This window comes from Homo sapiens, chromosome 18 (genome assembly GCF_000001405.40).
Source record: "Homo sapiens chromosome 18, GRCh38.p14 Primary Assembly".
Lineage (NCBI taxonomy): Eukaryota > Metazoa > Chordata > Mammalia > Primates > Hominidae > Homo > Homo sapiens.
In genome coordinates, this window is record NC_000018.10 from 9,869,363 (window position 1) to 9,884,903 (window position 15,541).

Consider the following 15,541-nt stretch of genomic DNA (forward strand, 5'->3'; position numbering starts at 1 on the left):
GAATTGTTATGGCCCTGGCACCAAGCAAGCGCTCAAAAACAGTAACAGCCAACATGAATACAGGGGCTTGCTATGTGCCAGACACAGTTCTAGGGGCTTTACATCATATTATCTCTTTTTATCTTTACAACAGCCTTTATGAGGCAGACACTATTATCTCCACTTTACAAGTGAGGAAACCCAGACACAGAAGGTTAAGTAAATTACCCAAGACTTTCTGATCAAGAGAGACAAAAGTCAAAGATCAGCTACTACTGTTTTCTCCTTTCTTTCCTCTCATTATAAGTGCTGCACATAATAAAAGAATGAAGAAAAGGAGATCCATGATTAATGAAAATTTCCCAGGAGCTACTTTCAAACTGTATCTCATTTTATCCGCAAAACAAATCTGAGATAGATGTGAAATTGTTCTCCTTTTACAGAAGGAGCATGGAGAGCTTAAGGGACATAAGGAGGGCAAGTGCATTCATGCGGAGGTCCGTCCTATGTCCTATTCCAAAACCCATTGTTGCATCTCAAGAGGAAGTTTTGACAGGGGAGTTAAGGGTTAACCAGCTCAGGCTGGAAATGCTGAATCACCCAATTAAAGGAGACTTGCTGCTTTGATGGGAAGGTCTGATCCAAAACTGCTGGGGTGACTCTCCTTGACCCTACCGTTTGGGCAGCTTCATTTATCTTTTCTGTGTCCCTGACCTTGATGTTGAAACCATTACTCAACCCTCAGTGAAGTTCTTAACCGGCTTTTTTGAAATGACTCATGCATCAAGGTCCAGCCATCTTGACTTTGTAGGGCCCGATGCCCTGAATTAGCTTCTGAGAACCCAGTGCCCAAACTGGTGTCCCCAGGTGGGCCTGGCAGACCATAGGTGGCAGCTTTCTCGGTTCTCCTTCACTTCACTTCTCTCTGGATGTGTGCGTGCTTTTTCTCTCATTGCTAAGGCACGCCCCAAGCTTTTTGCTTATTTGTTTTTATTTTCATCTTAAAATCACCCATGCACTGTTTTACCCCTCCCATCAACCTACCTATATGCATAAATCTTCTCTAGTTTTGATCAGCTGTCTTTTTTTCCTCCTCCAAGCCACCCTCTCTTCCCTTCTCACTAAAGAAATTCTTAAATGAGAATCATGATGTACTCACTTGATCATCTAGTCACTGCTCGCCTGAATTCAGTCCCTCCCCCAGCTCTGCACTTTCAAAGCCTATCCCCTCTTTCCACTCTCCACTCTCAGAGGGCAGGTGAAGCTGTGGGCCCCTCTCTCCCTCCTGGACCCTCCTTCTCCAGCCCAGAAGCTGGTTCTGTGGTTTCTGCACTTCTTTTACTGCCCTTTTCATTTTCCTTTGCTGGCTCTTCTTAGAGCTTAAATGCAGGTACTTCCTGCAAACGTGTGTTCCTATTTCTCCTCAGTACACCTTCCTTCTGATTTCATCCAACTTTATGGCTTCAACTATTGCCTCTGGGTGTCTGGCTTCTACACTGTTGTCTAGCCTGACTGCTTTCCAGAGATCAGAGCTTGATTTCCAGCTGCGGAATGGGTGTACTGAAGTCCCCTCTTGCATGCAAATAGTGTTGCACCTTGTTAACAATGCCATTCCTGCGCTGCATTCATTCTCTCAGAGGCTCAGGCTTCAAATTTGAGAGCCAGTTTCAGCTCCTTTCAAGCACTGACCAAACCATGGAAATTCTATTTCTGAGTTTCTCAAACCTTTTTTCCTTCTTTCCACTGTCCTAGCATAGGCTTTTGATATGTTCTATCTTGATTATAGTGATAGTTTCTCAGTAGATCTCTTTGATTGTTATCTTTGGCTCTCAGAGCTAGCATAGAATATGCTAGCAGTGAGTGATGTAGGTACACAGCAAATCGTATCATTTCCTGAAAACTTTCTGTGAGTCTCTTATTGCAAATTAAGTAAAATTGCAACTCTGTAACCTGTGGTGAAATGCCCCTTTCATTTAGCCCAGCCTCCATCCTGGCCCCATCGCTGCCCAGGGTCCCTGCTCCTGCCCACATCACACCCTGGTTGCTTTCTCCTAACTGGAAGGCCATCCATCTTTGCTCCTCTCTGCCTGGCAATATACCACCCTGCGTCGGAGGCTGGGAAGCAATTTTAGGAGGCTTTCCTGGATCTCCCCAGGAGGAATCAGAGTCACCATAGAATTGGGGGCAGCAGGTTAGCCTATAAGTTAGGGTCAAATCGTGTTCACCAGAGACAGTGCATTTTTTGCACTAAACATCATGAGTCTAGTATTAAAATGTCATTTTTCTTCTCTACACTCAGTGTTGTAGCAGGAGACCAGGAAGTTAATTGTGATGACCTTCGTGAGTCAAAAAAGAGAAACTCACAAGATATGGGCACTTTGATCCTATCGTGCAAGTTTTCATTGAGTGTCTGGGTTATTCCACACTGCGCTGTAAAGACTGCAGATACCAAGGCATATCTTACCCTCAAGAAGCCTATATTTGGACTGGGAAAGAGAGATTTGTACCATATAACATCATTTCATGAAATGCATGGTGCTGACGGGACTGTGTTAATCTGTGACATTTTACCCTTTTTTTGGTTTAAACATTTGTTTTTCAATATTATGATTTTAAACTTTGGATGTATTGGAAACATGGGAATAGTGTCTTTCACCTCTCTCCAATTTCCTTTATTTCTTAAAATTAACGCATAATAATTGCACAGATTTATGGGGTACATAGTGATGTTTTGATACATACAATATATAGTGATTCTCCTTTTTCTTTACTCAGAGGCTAAGGTGGAGATGGTGGTCTGCCAGATGTTCATAAAGATCATTTCAGCAAAAATATTTTTTAAATTAAGTGTTTTAGTATAAACCTTCTTCAACTGTTTTCCATTATACAAGCTGTAATCCATCCATGCCTTTATTCATTCATGCATTAAGGGCCCACTGAATGCCACATTTGCTTACGGTGAGAATGAGCTTGGACCCTTCCCAGGAAGGAAGGTATTGACCATCTGTCTGAACATCTAAACATTGTCTGAACGTCGAAGCTACAATACACTAAAAGATGATTACTGGGGGCCTGCTGCTTTGCTTCTTTCTACCTGCTCCACCCCACTGTGGCTCCATTCGTTCTGAAGGCAGATGTAGCCTATAGTAGTCTGCTCACTTGTCTGGCTTCTTTAGAAGGTGGGCGTTGGTAGATTCAAAGAACAGCAAGCAGACAGCAACGTCTTTACACCATGAACTATGGTGCATTTGATAAATATTTTTAGTGGCATATTTGTATTAAAACATCAACAAACTTACACCTACCCTGAATCTTACCGAAGCAGCTCCACATGGAATTTTTCAGTAAATACTTACACCAAAGAGCTTTAAACATTACACTAGAAAGTCAGAAGTGGTCAGAGTAGGACCACTGCTCACAGCTCTATCTTGGCAGGGTACCCATGGATCCTCAGTTAGATTTTCAGACTCTTTAGAGTGGAATCTAGAAGAGAAATCTTTCTTCTGCTAATACTGCTCACCTCTTGTAATAGACATTGCAGGTACCCTCTCCAAGCACAATTTCTTAGCACTGGCCTCTATTCTCAGATGACTGCTCACTGCAAACACCTGTGATGCTTTCAGGGTGGTTGTGGGGACATGCAGGGCCTGTGCCTAGGGCAAGCAGAGGTGCCAGGCTTACTGCCCCTAGACAAAATGTTCCAATGAAGTCTAGAGAGTTGGCATTACTCCCTCCCAGCTTGCCTTTGGTGTGAGCTTCAGTTGTACACAGTGGCAACTGACTTGATCACCTTCCAACTCCCCCTCCAGTGTCTCCTGGGATTATCTCCCAAATAAACTACTTGCACTCAAATTTTTGTCTTAGGATCTGCTTTTCAGAGTTTAACTAAAGTTTATAATTTTTTATTCAGTGATGAAATAAACAATAAACAAAACAACATGGGAATGCCATAAATGCGTATTGCTAAGAGAAAGAAGTCAGTCTGAGAAGGTTGCATACTATATTATTCCATTTTGTGACATTCTGGAAAGACAAAACTATAGAGACAATGAGCAAATCAGTGGTTGCTGTGGGTTTGCAGAAGGATGAGGGCTGACTAGGTGAAGCACATATTTTTTTAGGGCTATGAAACTATTCTGTATGGTACTGTAGTGGTGGTTAATAATACCATCTATTGGCTGGGAGCAGTGGCTCATGCCTGTAATCCCAGCACTTTGGGAGGCCAAGGTGGGCGGATCACGAGGTCAGGAGTTTGAGACCAACCTGGCCAACATGGTGAAACCCCATCTCTACTAAAAATACAAAAAATTAGCTGGGCGTGGTGGCAGATGCCTGTAATCCCAGCTGCTCAAGAGGCTGAGGCAGGAGAATCACTTGAACCCAGGAGGCGGAGGTTAGAGTGAGCCAAGATAGTGACATTGTACTCCAGCCTGGGCAACAGGAGTGAAATTCCGTCAAAAAAAAAAAAAACCCACAAAAAACAAAAAACAAACAAACAAAAAAAAACCCATCCATTTGTCAAAACCCAAAGGACTCCACAGCACAAAATAATATATGCAAATTTGAAAAAAACGACCGACAGAACAGGGTTCTAGGATGAAATGAAGATTGTGACAAAAGAATATACAGTCATAGCCTGGGTAGCATAGCGATACCCTGTCTCTACAAAAAAAATACAACAATTAGCCAGGCATTGTGGTGCACAACTGTAGTCCCAGCTACTTGGGGGACTGAGGTGGCAGGATTGCTTGAGCTTGGGAGGTTGAGGCTACAGTGAGCCTGTGTTCACACCACTGCACTCCAGACTGGGCAACAAAGTGAGACCCTGTCTCAAAAAAAGAAAACAAAAAAGAATATACAGTCATGCATCACTTAATGACAGGGATACATTCTGAAAAATGTGTCATTAGGTGGTTTCATCATAGTGTGAACATCATAGAGTGAAATTAAACAAACGTAGATAGTACAGCCTATTGCTCCTAGGCTATAAACCCCTAGAGCATGTTACCATACTGAATACTGTAGGCAATTATAACTTGATGGTATTTGTGTGCCTAATCCATACCTAAACATAGAAAAGATGCAGTAAAAATATGCTATAAAAGATTGAAATGGCCGGGCGTGGTGGCTCACGCCTGTAATCCCAGCACTTTGGGAGGCAGAGGCTGGCAGATCACCTGAGGTCAGGAGTTCAAGACCAGCCTGGCCAACATGGTAAAACTCCGTCTCTACTAAAAATACAAAAATAGCTGGGTGTGACGGTGGGTGCCTGTAATCCCAGCTACTTGGGAGGCTGAGGCAGAAGAATCACTTGAACCTGGGAGGTGAAGGTTGCAGTGAGCCGAGATCGTGCCGTTGCACTCCAGCCTGGATGCCAAGAGCGAAACTCCATCTCAAAAACAAAAAAAGTTAAAATGGTACATCTTCATAGGGCACTTTCTGTACATAGGAAGTTGCTCTGGGTGAGTCAGTGAGTGAGCGGTGAATGTAAAAGCCTGAGACATGCCTGTACATTATTGTGTACTTTATAAACACTGTACCTTTAGTCTACACTAAATTTATTTTAAAAATAATTTTGCCATGACATTAGGGCAGCCATGATGCCACTAGCTAATAGGAATTTTTCAGTTCTGTTATAATCTTATGGGACCACTGTTGTATGTGCAGTCCATCACTGACCAAATGCCATTATGTGGTGCATGACTTTAACTATATTACAAATGTGTGATATAACTTCACTGAAGGTGTCAGGAGAAAGAAATGCTGATGTTAAGTAACTTTGGAAATGCGGGAAACTATAAAACTAAAGATAAAAGGAACTATATGTACAAGCACTGTGCTCCAGTTGATAAAGTTGCTAACCGTGGAGGTACAGGTTAACTATCCTGAAACCATTCTACATGCATATTGGGATTGGGCAAATAGGTAAATGGTTGGTGGATGATGGGAACCAAGTCACTTTTGGAGTAGAAGGTTACAGACAAGCAAGAGAGAAAGGCTGAAAGGAGCCACGTGGTACTGAATTAGACTTGAGGACATCGGTATGAACTCATGTTTGGCTTAATATAGATACTGATAGGCAGATATAGAAGTAATTATAATTTGTGTATATGCAAGGGTTACTATATATACATATATATACACATACATATATGTATATACTTCCTAATCATGTTCACGGGGAGGGTCTAGAGACAATGATACCCAGCATCAATGAACACACCTAGCCTAGGTCTTGGTTTCTAAATACTATTCTCCAGTTTTAAAAAACCTAGAAATGGATGATTCTATGGCTCGGGCAGTGAATATACAGGATGAACCAGGAGTATCCTGCAGAGCCAGAAAGTAAGGAAGTGCTTACAAAGCAAATCAGCAGGTATATATCAAATAGGACATAGAAGCCATCGGAAAGAGCTCTCAATGACCAAAGCTGACAATTTGAGCCGAAAATAAAAACATAGTATTGGATTATAACCCAAAGTACAAAATAAACATCCATAATCGGCCGGGCACGGTGGCTCATGCCTGTAATCCCAGCACTTTGGGAGGCCGAGGCAGGTGGATCACAAGGTCAGGAGATCGAGACCATCCTGGCTAACACAGTGAAACCCCGTCTCTACTAAAAGTACAAAAAATTAGCCGGGCGTGGTGGTGGGTGCCTGTAATCCCAGCTACTTGGGAGGCTGAGGAAGGAGAATCGCTTGAACCCAGGAGGTGGAGCTTGCAGTGAGCTGAGATCGTGCCACTGCACTCCAGCCTGGGCGACAGAGTGAGACTCTGTCTCAAATAAATAAATAAATAAATACCCATAATCCACACTGATATTAATATATAATCGAATTAATAAATTTTGGGGGGGAGGCAAATATTCCAAACAGAAGAATTCCAAATCATTTCTGTGGCTACTCCTCCCTCAAAGAAGTAGAGCATAATCTCCACCCTTGGGCATGGGCTGTGCATGGTGACTTCCTTCCAAAGGGTACATACTATAAGGAAACGGTAAAATTATTCACAGTAAAATCATTCACTCTGGAGAAACCTGACAAACACCACCTCAGCCAAGTGGTCAAGGTCAACATCATCAGTGATAAGCAATGTTTGATAGTATCAACCCTTGATATGTTTAATTTGTGATGAAGTTGATGAAAATGACACTTTCCCTCTGTGGTCTTCCTTCTAAAAACATGTAACCCTGGTCTAACCATGAGAAACGCACCAGACAAACCTCACTTGAGAGACATTTTTCAAAATATCTGACCAGTACTTCTGAAAACTGTCAAGACAATCAAAAAAGGAAAGTCTGAGAAGCTGTCACAGCTGAGAGAAGCCTAAGGAAACATGACAATGAAATATAACTTGGTATCCTGGATGGGGTCCTGGAAAAAAGAAAAAAAGGATGTTGGGGAAAAACTAATGGAATCCAAATAAAGTATGGGTTTTAGTGAATAGTAATATGTCAATGTTGGCTCCTTAGTTGTGACAAGCATACCATAGTAATCTAAGATGTTAACAGTGGAGAAAATTGGATGTGGGGTGTATGGGAACTCTGTACTATCCTTGAAACTTTTCTATGAACATATGTATTCTAAAATTAAAAGTTTATGTAAAAACGCATTATTATGCCCAAAGGGCTGCTTCTCTCTGGAGTAAAGATTGGAAGGAATGTCAGAGGTAAGGGACAGCCGCCTGTGTGCCCCAGTTAGTACTGTAACTAGGATAGAGAGCTTGGGGTTAAAACTGCCCCCGGAGAGTTAAAGAAACAATGACTAACAGAAATTCTTGGGCTTACAAGATAGCAGATAAGAAAAGAAACAAAGTTTAAACTGAAACTACGCCCCAAAGAGTAAGAAACCAATGACTAACAGAAATTCTTGAGTTTGCAGGATGGCAGATAAAAAGAAACCATTTGTTGAAATGCTGACACTCCCTCAGCTTGTGAGATTTCAAAACTGGCTGAAATCGGTTGGAACCAAAATGGCCAACTGGATTTTGCACAGAACAGGCTTGCTGATGTCACAGCCCATGTTTCCACCATGTGTTTCATACTAACTCCCCCTGAAATTTATACACGCAACTCATGAGGTGGCAGTTATCAAGAGATAACTGTGCATGTCCGAGGAGTTTCCAGACCTCCCCTTTCCTTCCACCAATTATCTACTAATCCCGGAATCCACCCCCTAATCCTTTCCTGATAAGATTACCGCCTTGAAGCCAGCACAGGGAGACAAATTTGAGCTGGGCTGGTCTCTTTGCTAGTTGACTTGCAATAAAAAGCTTTGCTTTTTCATAGTATTGCCTTCTAGTGCCTCAGACGTTACCCTTTTTTACTTGATAATAGGGTTAAGATTCTTTTACCTCCAAATCTTAATTTGGAGATATGATTTCTAGCAGGGCTCTTTTCTTACAAAATTCCACAAAATGCACCCACTTTGCATCTTACTGTGTTGATTAGTGGTGATCCATATTAAATTTCTGCCTCCCCATTGCCTATCCATTAGGCTAAATAACCAAGAGTCTGAATCTTTATAGGGAGCATATTTTTATTATTCCACAGTAAATTGGTGGGCACTGGAGTATATGTAGTACTAAAAAAAAAAAGCCCTTAATGTATAAACATGCTCTCTTTAACTCTCTGAGATGGTTGAATTTTTAATAAGGTAGCAAAAGGAGTGAATTGCAGACTAACTTCACTTTAAACTATTTCCTCGTATTAGAATTCTCATTGAATTAAATCCTCCAAAGTTTTAGTACTATAAATAATAGTACTAAAAAAATTATTATACAATAAAAATATTATTGCTATTACTATTATTACTGATTTGGGGCTGTAAAGGAGGCAGTCTCAGAATCAAAAGTTCAGAAGTTTATATTTAAATATATCACCAGGAGAAATCGGAAAAGAGAAAATGATAGATTTGACTACACAAAAATGGAAGCATCTATGTATTGTTCCCAAAATATCATCAATGAAATTAAAAGGGAAACTGAGAAAAAACTATGACAATGACTGGTAAAAGGAAATTATATATAAGTACATATGCTAAGAAAATTAATATATATGGATATGCCTTCCCTTCAAGAAATATTAAGCAAAGGCCATGATATAGCAATTTGTAAAGAAAGAAATGGAAATTGATGATAAATATTTTTAAAATTTCAATAAAGAAATGCAAATTGTTACTAATAACATACTAATGTTCAGTCAAGAAATGCAAATTGTTAATAATGACAACTTTTTTGTCCATCAATTGCACTTTAATACCTTGCTGATAGAACAGCTTTTCTTAAGAACATTTGGCAATATCTATCAAAAAGTCTCTGGAATGTCTGCTAATTGATCTAGGGATTCCATTTTTATAATTTTTCTAAGAAGAAAATTAGTATGTGGAAAGACTTCTTCATAAATAAGTTTATTACTACATTGTTTATAATAGTAAAGAATCAAAACCAACTTTTACCCACCAATAGAAAATTATTTAAATAAACTATAATTCATCCATTCGAAAGAACACTAATCAGCCATTAAAAATGGTTATATAGGTCAGGGGTTGGCAAACTATGGCCCATTGGTCAGCTGCCCTTTTTTGTAAATAAAGTTTTATTGGGACACAGCCGTGCCCATACATTTATGTACTGTGTGTGGCTTCTATATCTGCTGCTAGTTTGCTAGGGCCGCTGTAACAAACCACCACAAATGGGGTGGCTTCAACAACAGAAATGGATTGTCTCACAGTTCTGGAGGCTAGAAATCCAATCGAGGTGTTCTGAGAGCTGTGAGTGAAGGATCTGTTCCAGGCCTCTCTCCTTGGCTTGTAGATGGCCGTCTTCTCCCCATGCCTCTTCACATTGTCTTCTCACTGTGCATGTCTGCGTCCACATTTCCCCCTCTTTATAAGGATATCAGTCATACTGGATGAGGGGCCCCACTCTACTCTTATATAACTTCATCTTAACTAGTTATATCTGCAATCACCCTATTTCCAAAAACGAGGTCACATTCTGAGGTACTGGGGATTAAGACTCCAGCATATGAATTTTGGGGGGGCACGCTGAACCCATAATAGCTGCTTTCGTGCTACTGTTTCATGTGTTCATACTCAACAGCAGAGTTGAGTAGTTCTGACAGAAGTGTGGTCTGTGAAGTCTGAAATAGTTATCTGCCCCTTACGGAAAAACTTGCTGACTCCTGCTATAGGTGAGCATGTTTTGACATGAAAAATACTCAAAATCTGTCCTAAAGAACATTTATTTATTTACTTATTTATAGACAGGATCTTGCTATGTTGCCTAGGCTGGACTCCAATTCCTGGGCTCAAGCAATCCTCCTGCCTCGGCCTCCAGCATAGCTGAGACTACAGGCATGTGCTATCCTGCGGGGCCAAAAACATTTATTTTTATGGTAATATAATATTTCACTTATTCTGTTCATTATTAACTAATATCTGAGAACATTTACAATATTAATGAGACTTAATCTAGGAGGAGTTCAAATTAATTTTTTTTTTTCTTTGAGGTAGAGTCTCACTCTGTTGCCCAGGCTGGAATGCAGTGGTGTGATCTCGGCTTACTGCAACCTGCACCTCCCGGGTTCAGGCGATTCTTCTGCCTCAGCCTCCTGAGTAGCTGGGACTACAGGTGCCCGCCACCATGCCCAGCTAATTTTTGTATTTTTAGTAGAGACGGGGTTTCACCATGTTGGCCAGGCTGGTCTTGAACTCCTGACCTCAAATGATCCACCCACATTTGAGTGCTGGGATTACAGGTCTGAGCCACCATGCCTGGCCTAAATTTATTTTTCTTTATGTCTCAGTACCATCTAAATAAGAGAGATAGTCAAAATAATTATGGTCAAACTTATGATGTCAAAAACATAAATAAGTGGTTGGTGTTAGCATGTCTACATATAGTTCAGTTTTTGCTGTAAGGTTCTTTGGAGGCCAGATGCAGTGACTCATGCTTGTAATCCCCACATTTTGGGAGGCCAAGGCGGGTGGATCACCTGAGGTCAGGAATTTGAGACCAGCCTGGCCAACATGGTGGAACCCTGTCTTTACTAAAAATACAAAAATTAACGGAGTGTGGTGGCGGGTGCCTGAAATCCCAGCTGCTTGGGAGGCTGAGGGAGGAGAATCACTTGAACCCAGGAGGCGGAGGTTGCAGTGAGTCGAGATCACGCCCCTGCACTCCAGCCTGGGTGATACAGTGAGACTCTGTCTCAAAAAAAAAAAAAAAAAAAAAAGTTATTTGGCTGCAAGAAAGAACATTTGGTTTACTTTGATGATAAGAGTATCTCTTAATGCTGGGATGGCCTCTTCCTGGCATTTCTTCCATTGTTGATTTTTAGTTTAGTAGTCTGTGATTGCCTGAATGGAGTTGAGTGGAGAGGGATTCATCATGTTAATTCCAAACACGAGTTCCTGGCCAATGACTAAAATAAGTAATAAGGAGGGAGACACATAACACAACTGCCCAGTGTTTTTGATGCCAATAGGTTAAGCCTAAGGATTTTCACCAAAATTCAGAAATAACATCTCATAATAAAATAAGCACTGTGTTCTCTGCACAAGCATAGACCGAGGGACTCAAGGTACAAGGGAGGAAAAATTGAGGAGAGGCCCAAGGCCCTGAGGTGCCCTCCCCATTCCCTGCCCTACCCGCATTACAGGCGCCCGGTGACCTTCACTGGAGGAAACATGGAAATACATTCTTAAGTGAAAATGATTACAAAATAGTATATTTTCTGGAAAATTATCTCATCTGAAAATATCTGCCAGGTGCAGTGGCTCACACATGTAATCTAAGCAGTTTGGGAGGCCAAGGCAGGAGGACTGCTTGAACCCAGAGTTTGAGACCACCCTGGGCAACATAGTGAGACCCTGTATCTATACAATTTTTTAAAACAACAGCAACAACAACAAAACAGGCCGGGCGCGGTGGCTCACGCCTGTAATCCCAGCACTTTGGGAAGCTGAGGCTGTCAGATCACTTGAGGTCAGGAGTTCAAGACCAGCCTGGCCAACATGGTGAAACCCCATCTCTACTAAAAGTACAAAAATGAGCCAGGAATGGTGGCATGTGCCTGTAATCCCAGCTACTCGGGAGGCAGAGGTAAGAGAATCGCTCGAACTCGGGAGGCGGAGATTGCAATTGCGCCATTGCCCTCCAGCCCAGGGCAACAGAGTGAGACTCCATCTCAAAACAAACAAACAAACAAAAAACAATTCGCTGGACATGGTGGTCCTCACCTATAGTCCCAGGTACTTGGGAGGCTGAGGCAGGAAGATTGCTGGAGCCCAGGAGTTTGAGGCTGCAGTGACTAATGATGGCACCACTGCACTCCAGCCTGGGTGACACAGTGAGACCCTATCTCTTAAAAAAAAAAAAAGAAAATATCTACATGTGAATAGACAAAAGACAAAGAATGTACATCACACTATTATAGCAATGATTCCTGAGGTATGAAGAACTACGAGTAATTTTTATTCTCTTTTTACTTATCTGTTTTCTAATTTTTATATTATGAACACATATTATTTTTGTAATTATAAACCAAAAATGTATGCCAGCAAAAGATATAAAAAATTCATACATAGGCCGGGTACAGTGACTCAGGCCTGTAATCCCAGCACTTTGGGAGGCTGAGGTGGGCAGATCACCTGAAGTCTGCAGTTCGAGACCAGCCTGGCCAATGTGGTGAAACCCCGTCTCTACTAAAAATACAAAAATTGGCCTGGCGTGGTGGTGGGCGCCTGTTATCCTGGCTACTGGGGAGGCTGAGGCAGGAGAATTGCTTGAACCCGGGAGGCAGAGGTTGCAGTGAGCCGAGACTGCACTATTGCACTCCAGCCTGGGCGACAAGAGTGAAATTCCATCTCAAAAAACAAAAATTTTTGTGCATAATATTGTCTTTGTAAGGGTGTGGTAGAAATGGCTTTACATGCAGTGTTTATTCCAACTTCCTTCTGGTGTCCTTCTTTGTTCCTTCTGGGAACAAAAAGTCATGTTCCCTTGACTCCCTTGCAGCTGAGTCGCTGGGTATGAATTAGCATCCACCAGTAGCTGAACCTTCTTGAGAAGGAGGCCACAGTATCAGCTCTGCCTCAGTCTGCGGGGGTTCAGTGGGGGTTGGAACAGATGACCAGAACTCATCTCCATCTCTGGGCTCAGAGGGAGTTGGGGCTGGGGCGGACTCACCCCTGGATGGTGGCTGTAGCAGAAGGTTATTAAAGCTAACAGTTTGGGTGGTGGTCTTCTAATTCCCTATCTTCCTGATATCCTGGAGGTTGTAATGATCCTGGCAAGCCTGTTCTGTATCATTGCTCAGTGTTCTGGGAATCATTCCGGGATACCTAGCCTAAACAGGCAGCCTCGCCAGCAGTTTTATAATTGCCCAAATAATCCTAGGCCTAAAATAGCTGGTTGTTTCTGTTTCCTGAGACACAACCTGAGTGACATAAGGGCTCATGAGCTATTTGGGAATGAGCTTCTGCTGAAGGAAAACATACATTTTATGACAAGTCAGTGGAAGAATTAATATTTCAAGTTGCTTGGAATTCATCTGAATTGCAGAAGGAAGAGTAAAAATATCAGGAACAAGTGCCAAACCTAAAACACAACGAAGATCTCCAAGTATAAATGTAACAGGATCACAGATTTCCTCTCTTTTACTAAGACATTCAGGTACAATATCACTTATACATTTCTCTAGAATGGCTCATCCTTCCCATGAGCCTTATCTCAATGGGTTTTGGGGTGGGATGGTGAGGAGCAGGGAAACCGAATTAAGTTTGCCTGTTTGTGGAATTTTGGCTCAAAGAACCCTTTTCCATGGTGTAGCGGTGCAATCTTTCAGAGTTCTCACTTTGTCCATAGTGTCTGGATGCCCAGGGCTACACGGATAAACGTGCCGGGTGCTCTGGTCCCGTGCTGGTTTCCCATGTGAATTGGCTGGTCTGGCCTGGTCCCCAGCCTGAGATCTCTTGAAGGACCCACTGATTCCATTTAGGACAGGGGCATCGTGATGTTACTCACTGCTGGAGTCTGTGATTCCAGTCCTTGCCTCTGGTCACAGATCCTCCTCCTCTGAGTCTTCTTCCTCTAGGCCTCTATCTTTCACCAGTCTCAGAGCACTCCCAGCCACTCTCTGAGGTGTACATCGTTGCTAGATCTTTAACCTCCTCCCTGCAGGCTGTGGGGCCTGCCCCAGGTCCACACATCCATTCTTACCCTCTACTAGGGGCCACGCTGCACGAGGACAGTGCTGTGTTGGATGTGAAGTCCACGTGGGCTCATCCTGGCCTTCCAAGTGGAGCAGGAGGCAGATGCCCCTCTGCTTTCAGCTGCAAGTCTTTTTTTATCTTTTTTTTTTTTCTTTTTTTGAGAGAGTCTTGCTCTGTTGCTCAGGCTAGAGTGCAGTGGCACCATCTCCGCTCACTGCAACCTCTGCTTCCCAGGTTCAAGCGATTCTCCTGCCTCAGCCTCCTGAGTAGCTGGGATTACAGACATTTGTCACCACATCCGGCTAACTTTCGTATTTTTAGTAGAGATCTAAAATCGCATTTTTAGTAGAGTAGCACATCTGATTAGTATCTGTGCTGGCAATCAACCTGGAGAAAGGAGGCCGGGACACAGGCATCTGTCCTCTTGCCTCCACATCTACTGGGATGGCAGGAGTGATGTTTTCACTTCTGCCTCTCAGCGATGGAGTTCCTCTGTGTCCTCATCCACTCCCTTCCAAACAGCAGGGACCCTGTACAAGATAGGGTCCCAGGAAGTAAATTAACTTACCAATGAGCAAGGGCCAAAGATGCTGCCCACTTTGTGCTAATAAAATCTGCTCATGATGGTTTCTGCAAATGATGCCTATCCTCCCCGCTTCACCTCCTTTCTCCTAACACTAAGAAAGAAGACATTGCCCAGATAAGTGCCTGACGTTTATTTTCATCCTCTGCTTTAAAATAGGGCACCATGAAAAACAGTCCTGTCAGCTGTGGAAGCCGTTGGCATTGGAGAGTGAAGACAACCTCCCGTCCTTTAAAATATCACATAAGAAAGGCCCAAAGTCTCCCAGTGAGAGAGGGAAGAGCTTTCTTTGGCAGTAACCGAGGAAACGGAGTGGAAGCATGAGCTCTTCCTGGAACAGGATTCATATCATCAAGAACTACGGATTTGCTGGGCCAGGCATGGTGGCTCACGCCTGTAATCCCAGCAATTTGGGAGGCTGAGGCAGGTGGATCGTTTGAGGTCAGGAGTTAGAGACCAGCCTTGCTAACATGGTGAAACCCTGTCTCGACTAAAAAAAATACAAAAATTAGCCGGGTGTGGTGGTGAATGCCTGTAATCCCAGCTACTCGAGAGGGTGAGGCAAGAGAATTGCTTGAACCTGGGAGATAGAGGTTGCAGTGAGTCGAGATTGTGCCACTGCACTCCAGCCTCGGTGACAGGGCAAGACTGTCTCAAAGAAAAAAAAAAAAGGAACTATGGATTTGCTAAGGCCAATAGTCTCTCTACCCCTTAGTAAAATGTGTTTTGGTATAAAAATCCAGATAATTGAACCATTGCC

General features: G+C 42.6%; 1 pseudogene, besides 3 other annotated features; it reads right to left on the reverse strand.

Annotated features, from left to right (window-relative positions):
- Positions 356–958: a transcriptional cis regulatory region, noted in NCBI's record as "candidate enhancer chr18.299 targeted for multiplex CRISPR interference". NCBI's record gives its function as "positively regulates RAB31 gene expression with high confidence in K562 cells {active_cell/tissue: K562}" and the evidence as "EXISTENCE:mutant phenotype evidence [ECO:0000015][PMID:30612741]".
- Positions 665–824: an enhancer, noted in NCBI's record as "active region_13079". NCBI's record gives its function as "activates an Ori minimal core promoter by ATAC-STARR-seq in GM12878 lymphoblastoid cells {active_cell/tissue: GM12878}" and the evidence as "EXISTENCE:reporter gene assay evidence [ECO:0000049][PMID:35858748]".
- Positions 7,547–8,364: a transcriptional cis regulatory region, noted in NCBI's record as "candidate enhancer chr18.300 targeted for multiplex CRISPR interference". NCBI's record gives its function as "positively regulates RAB31 gene expression with high confidence in K562 cells {active_cell/tissue: K562}" and the evidence as "EXISTENCE:mutant phenotype evidence [ECO:0000015][PMID:30612741]".
- On the reverse strand, positions 11,216–11,507 carry PIGPP4 (phosphatidylinositol glycan anchor biosynthesis class P pseudogene 4; annotated as a pseudogene).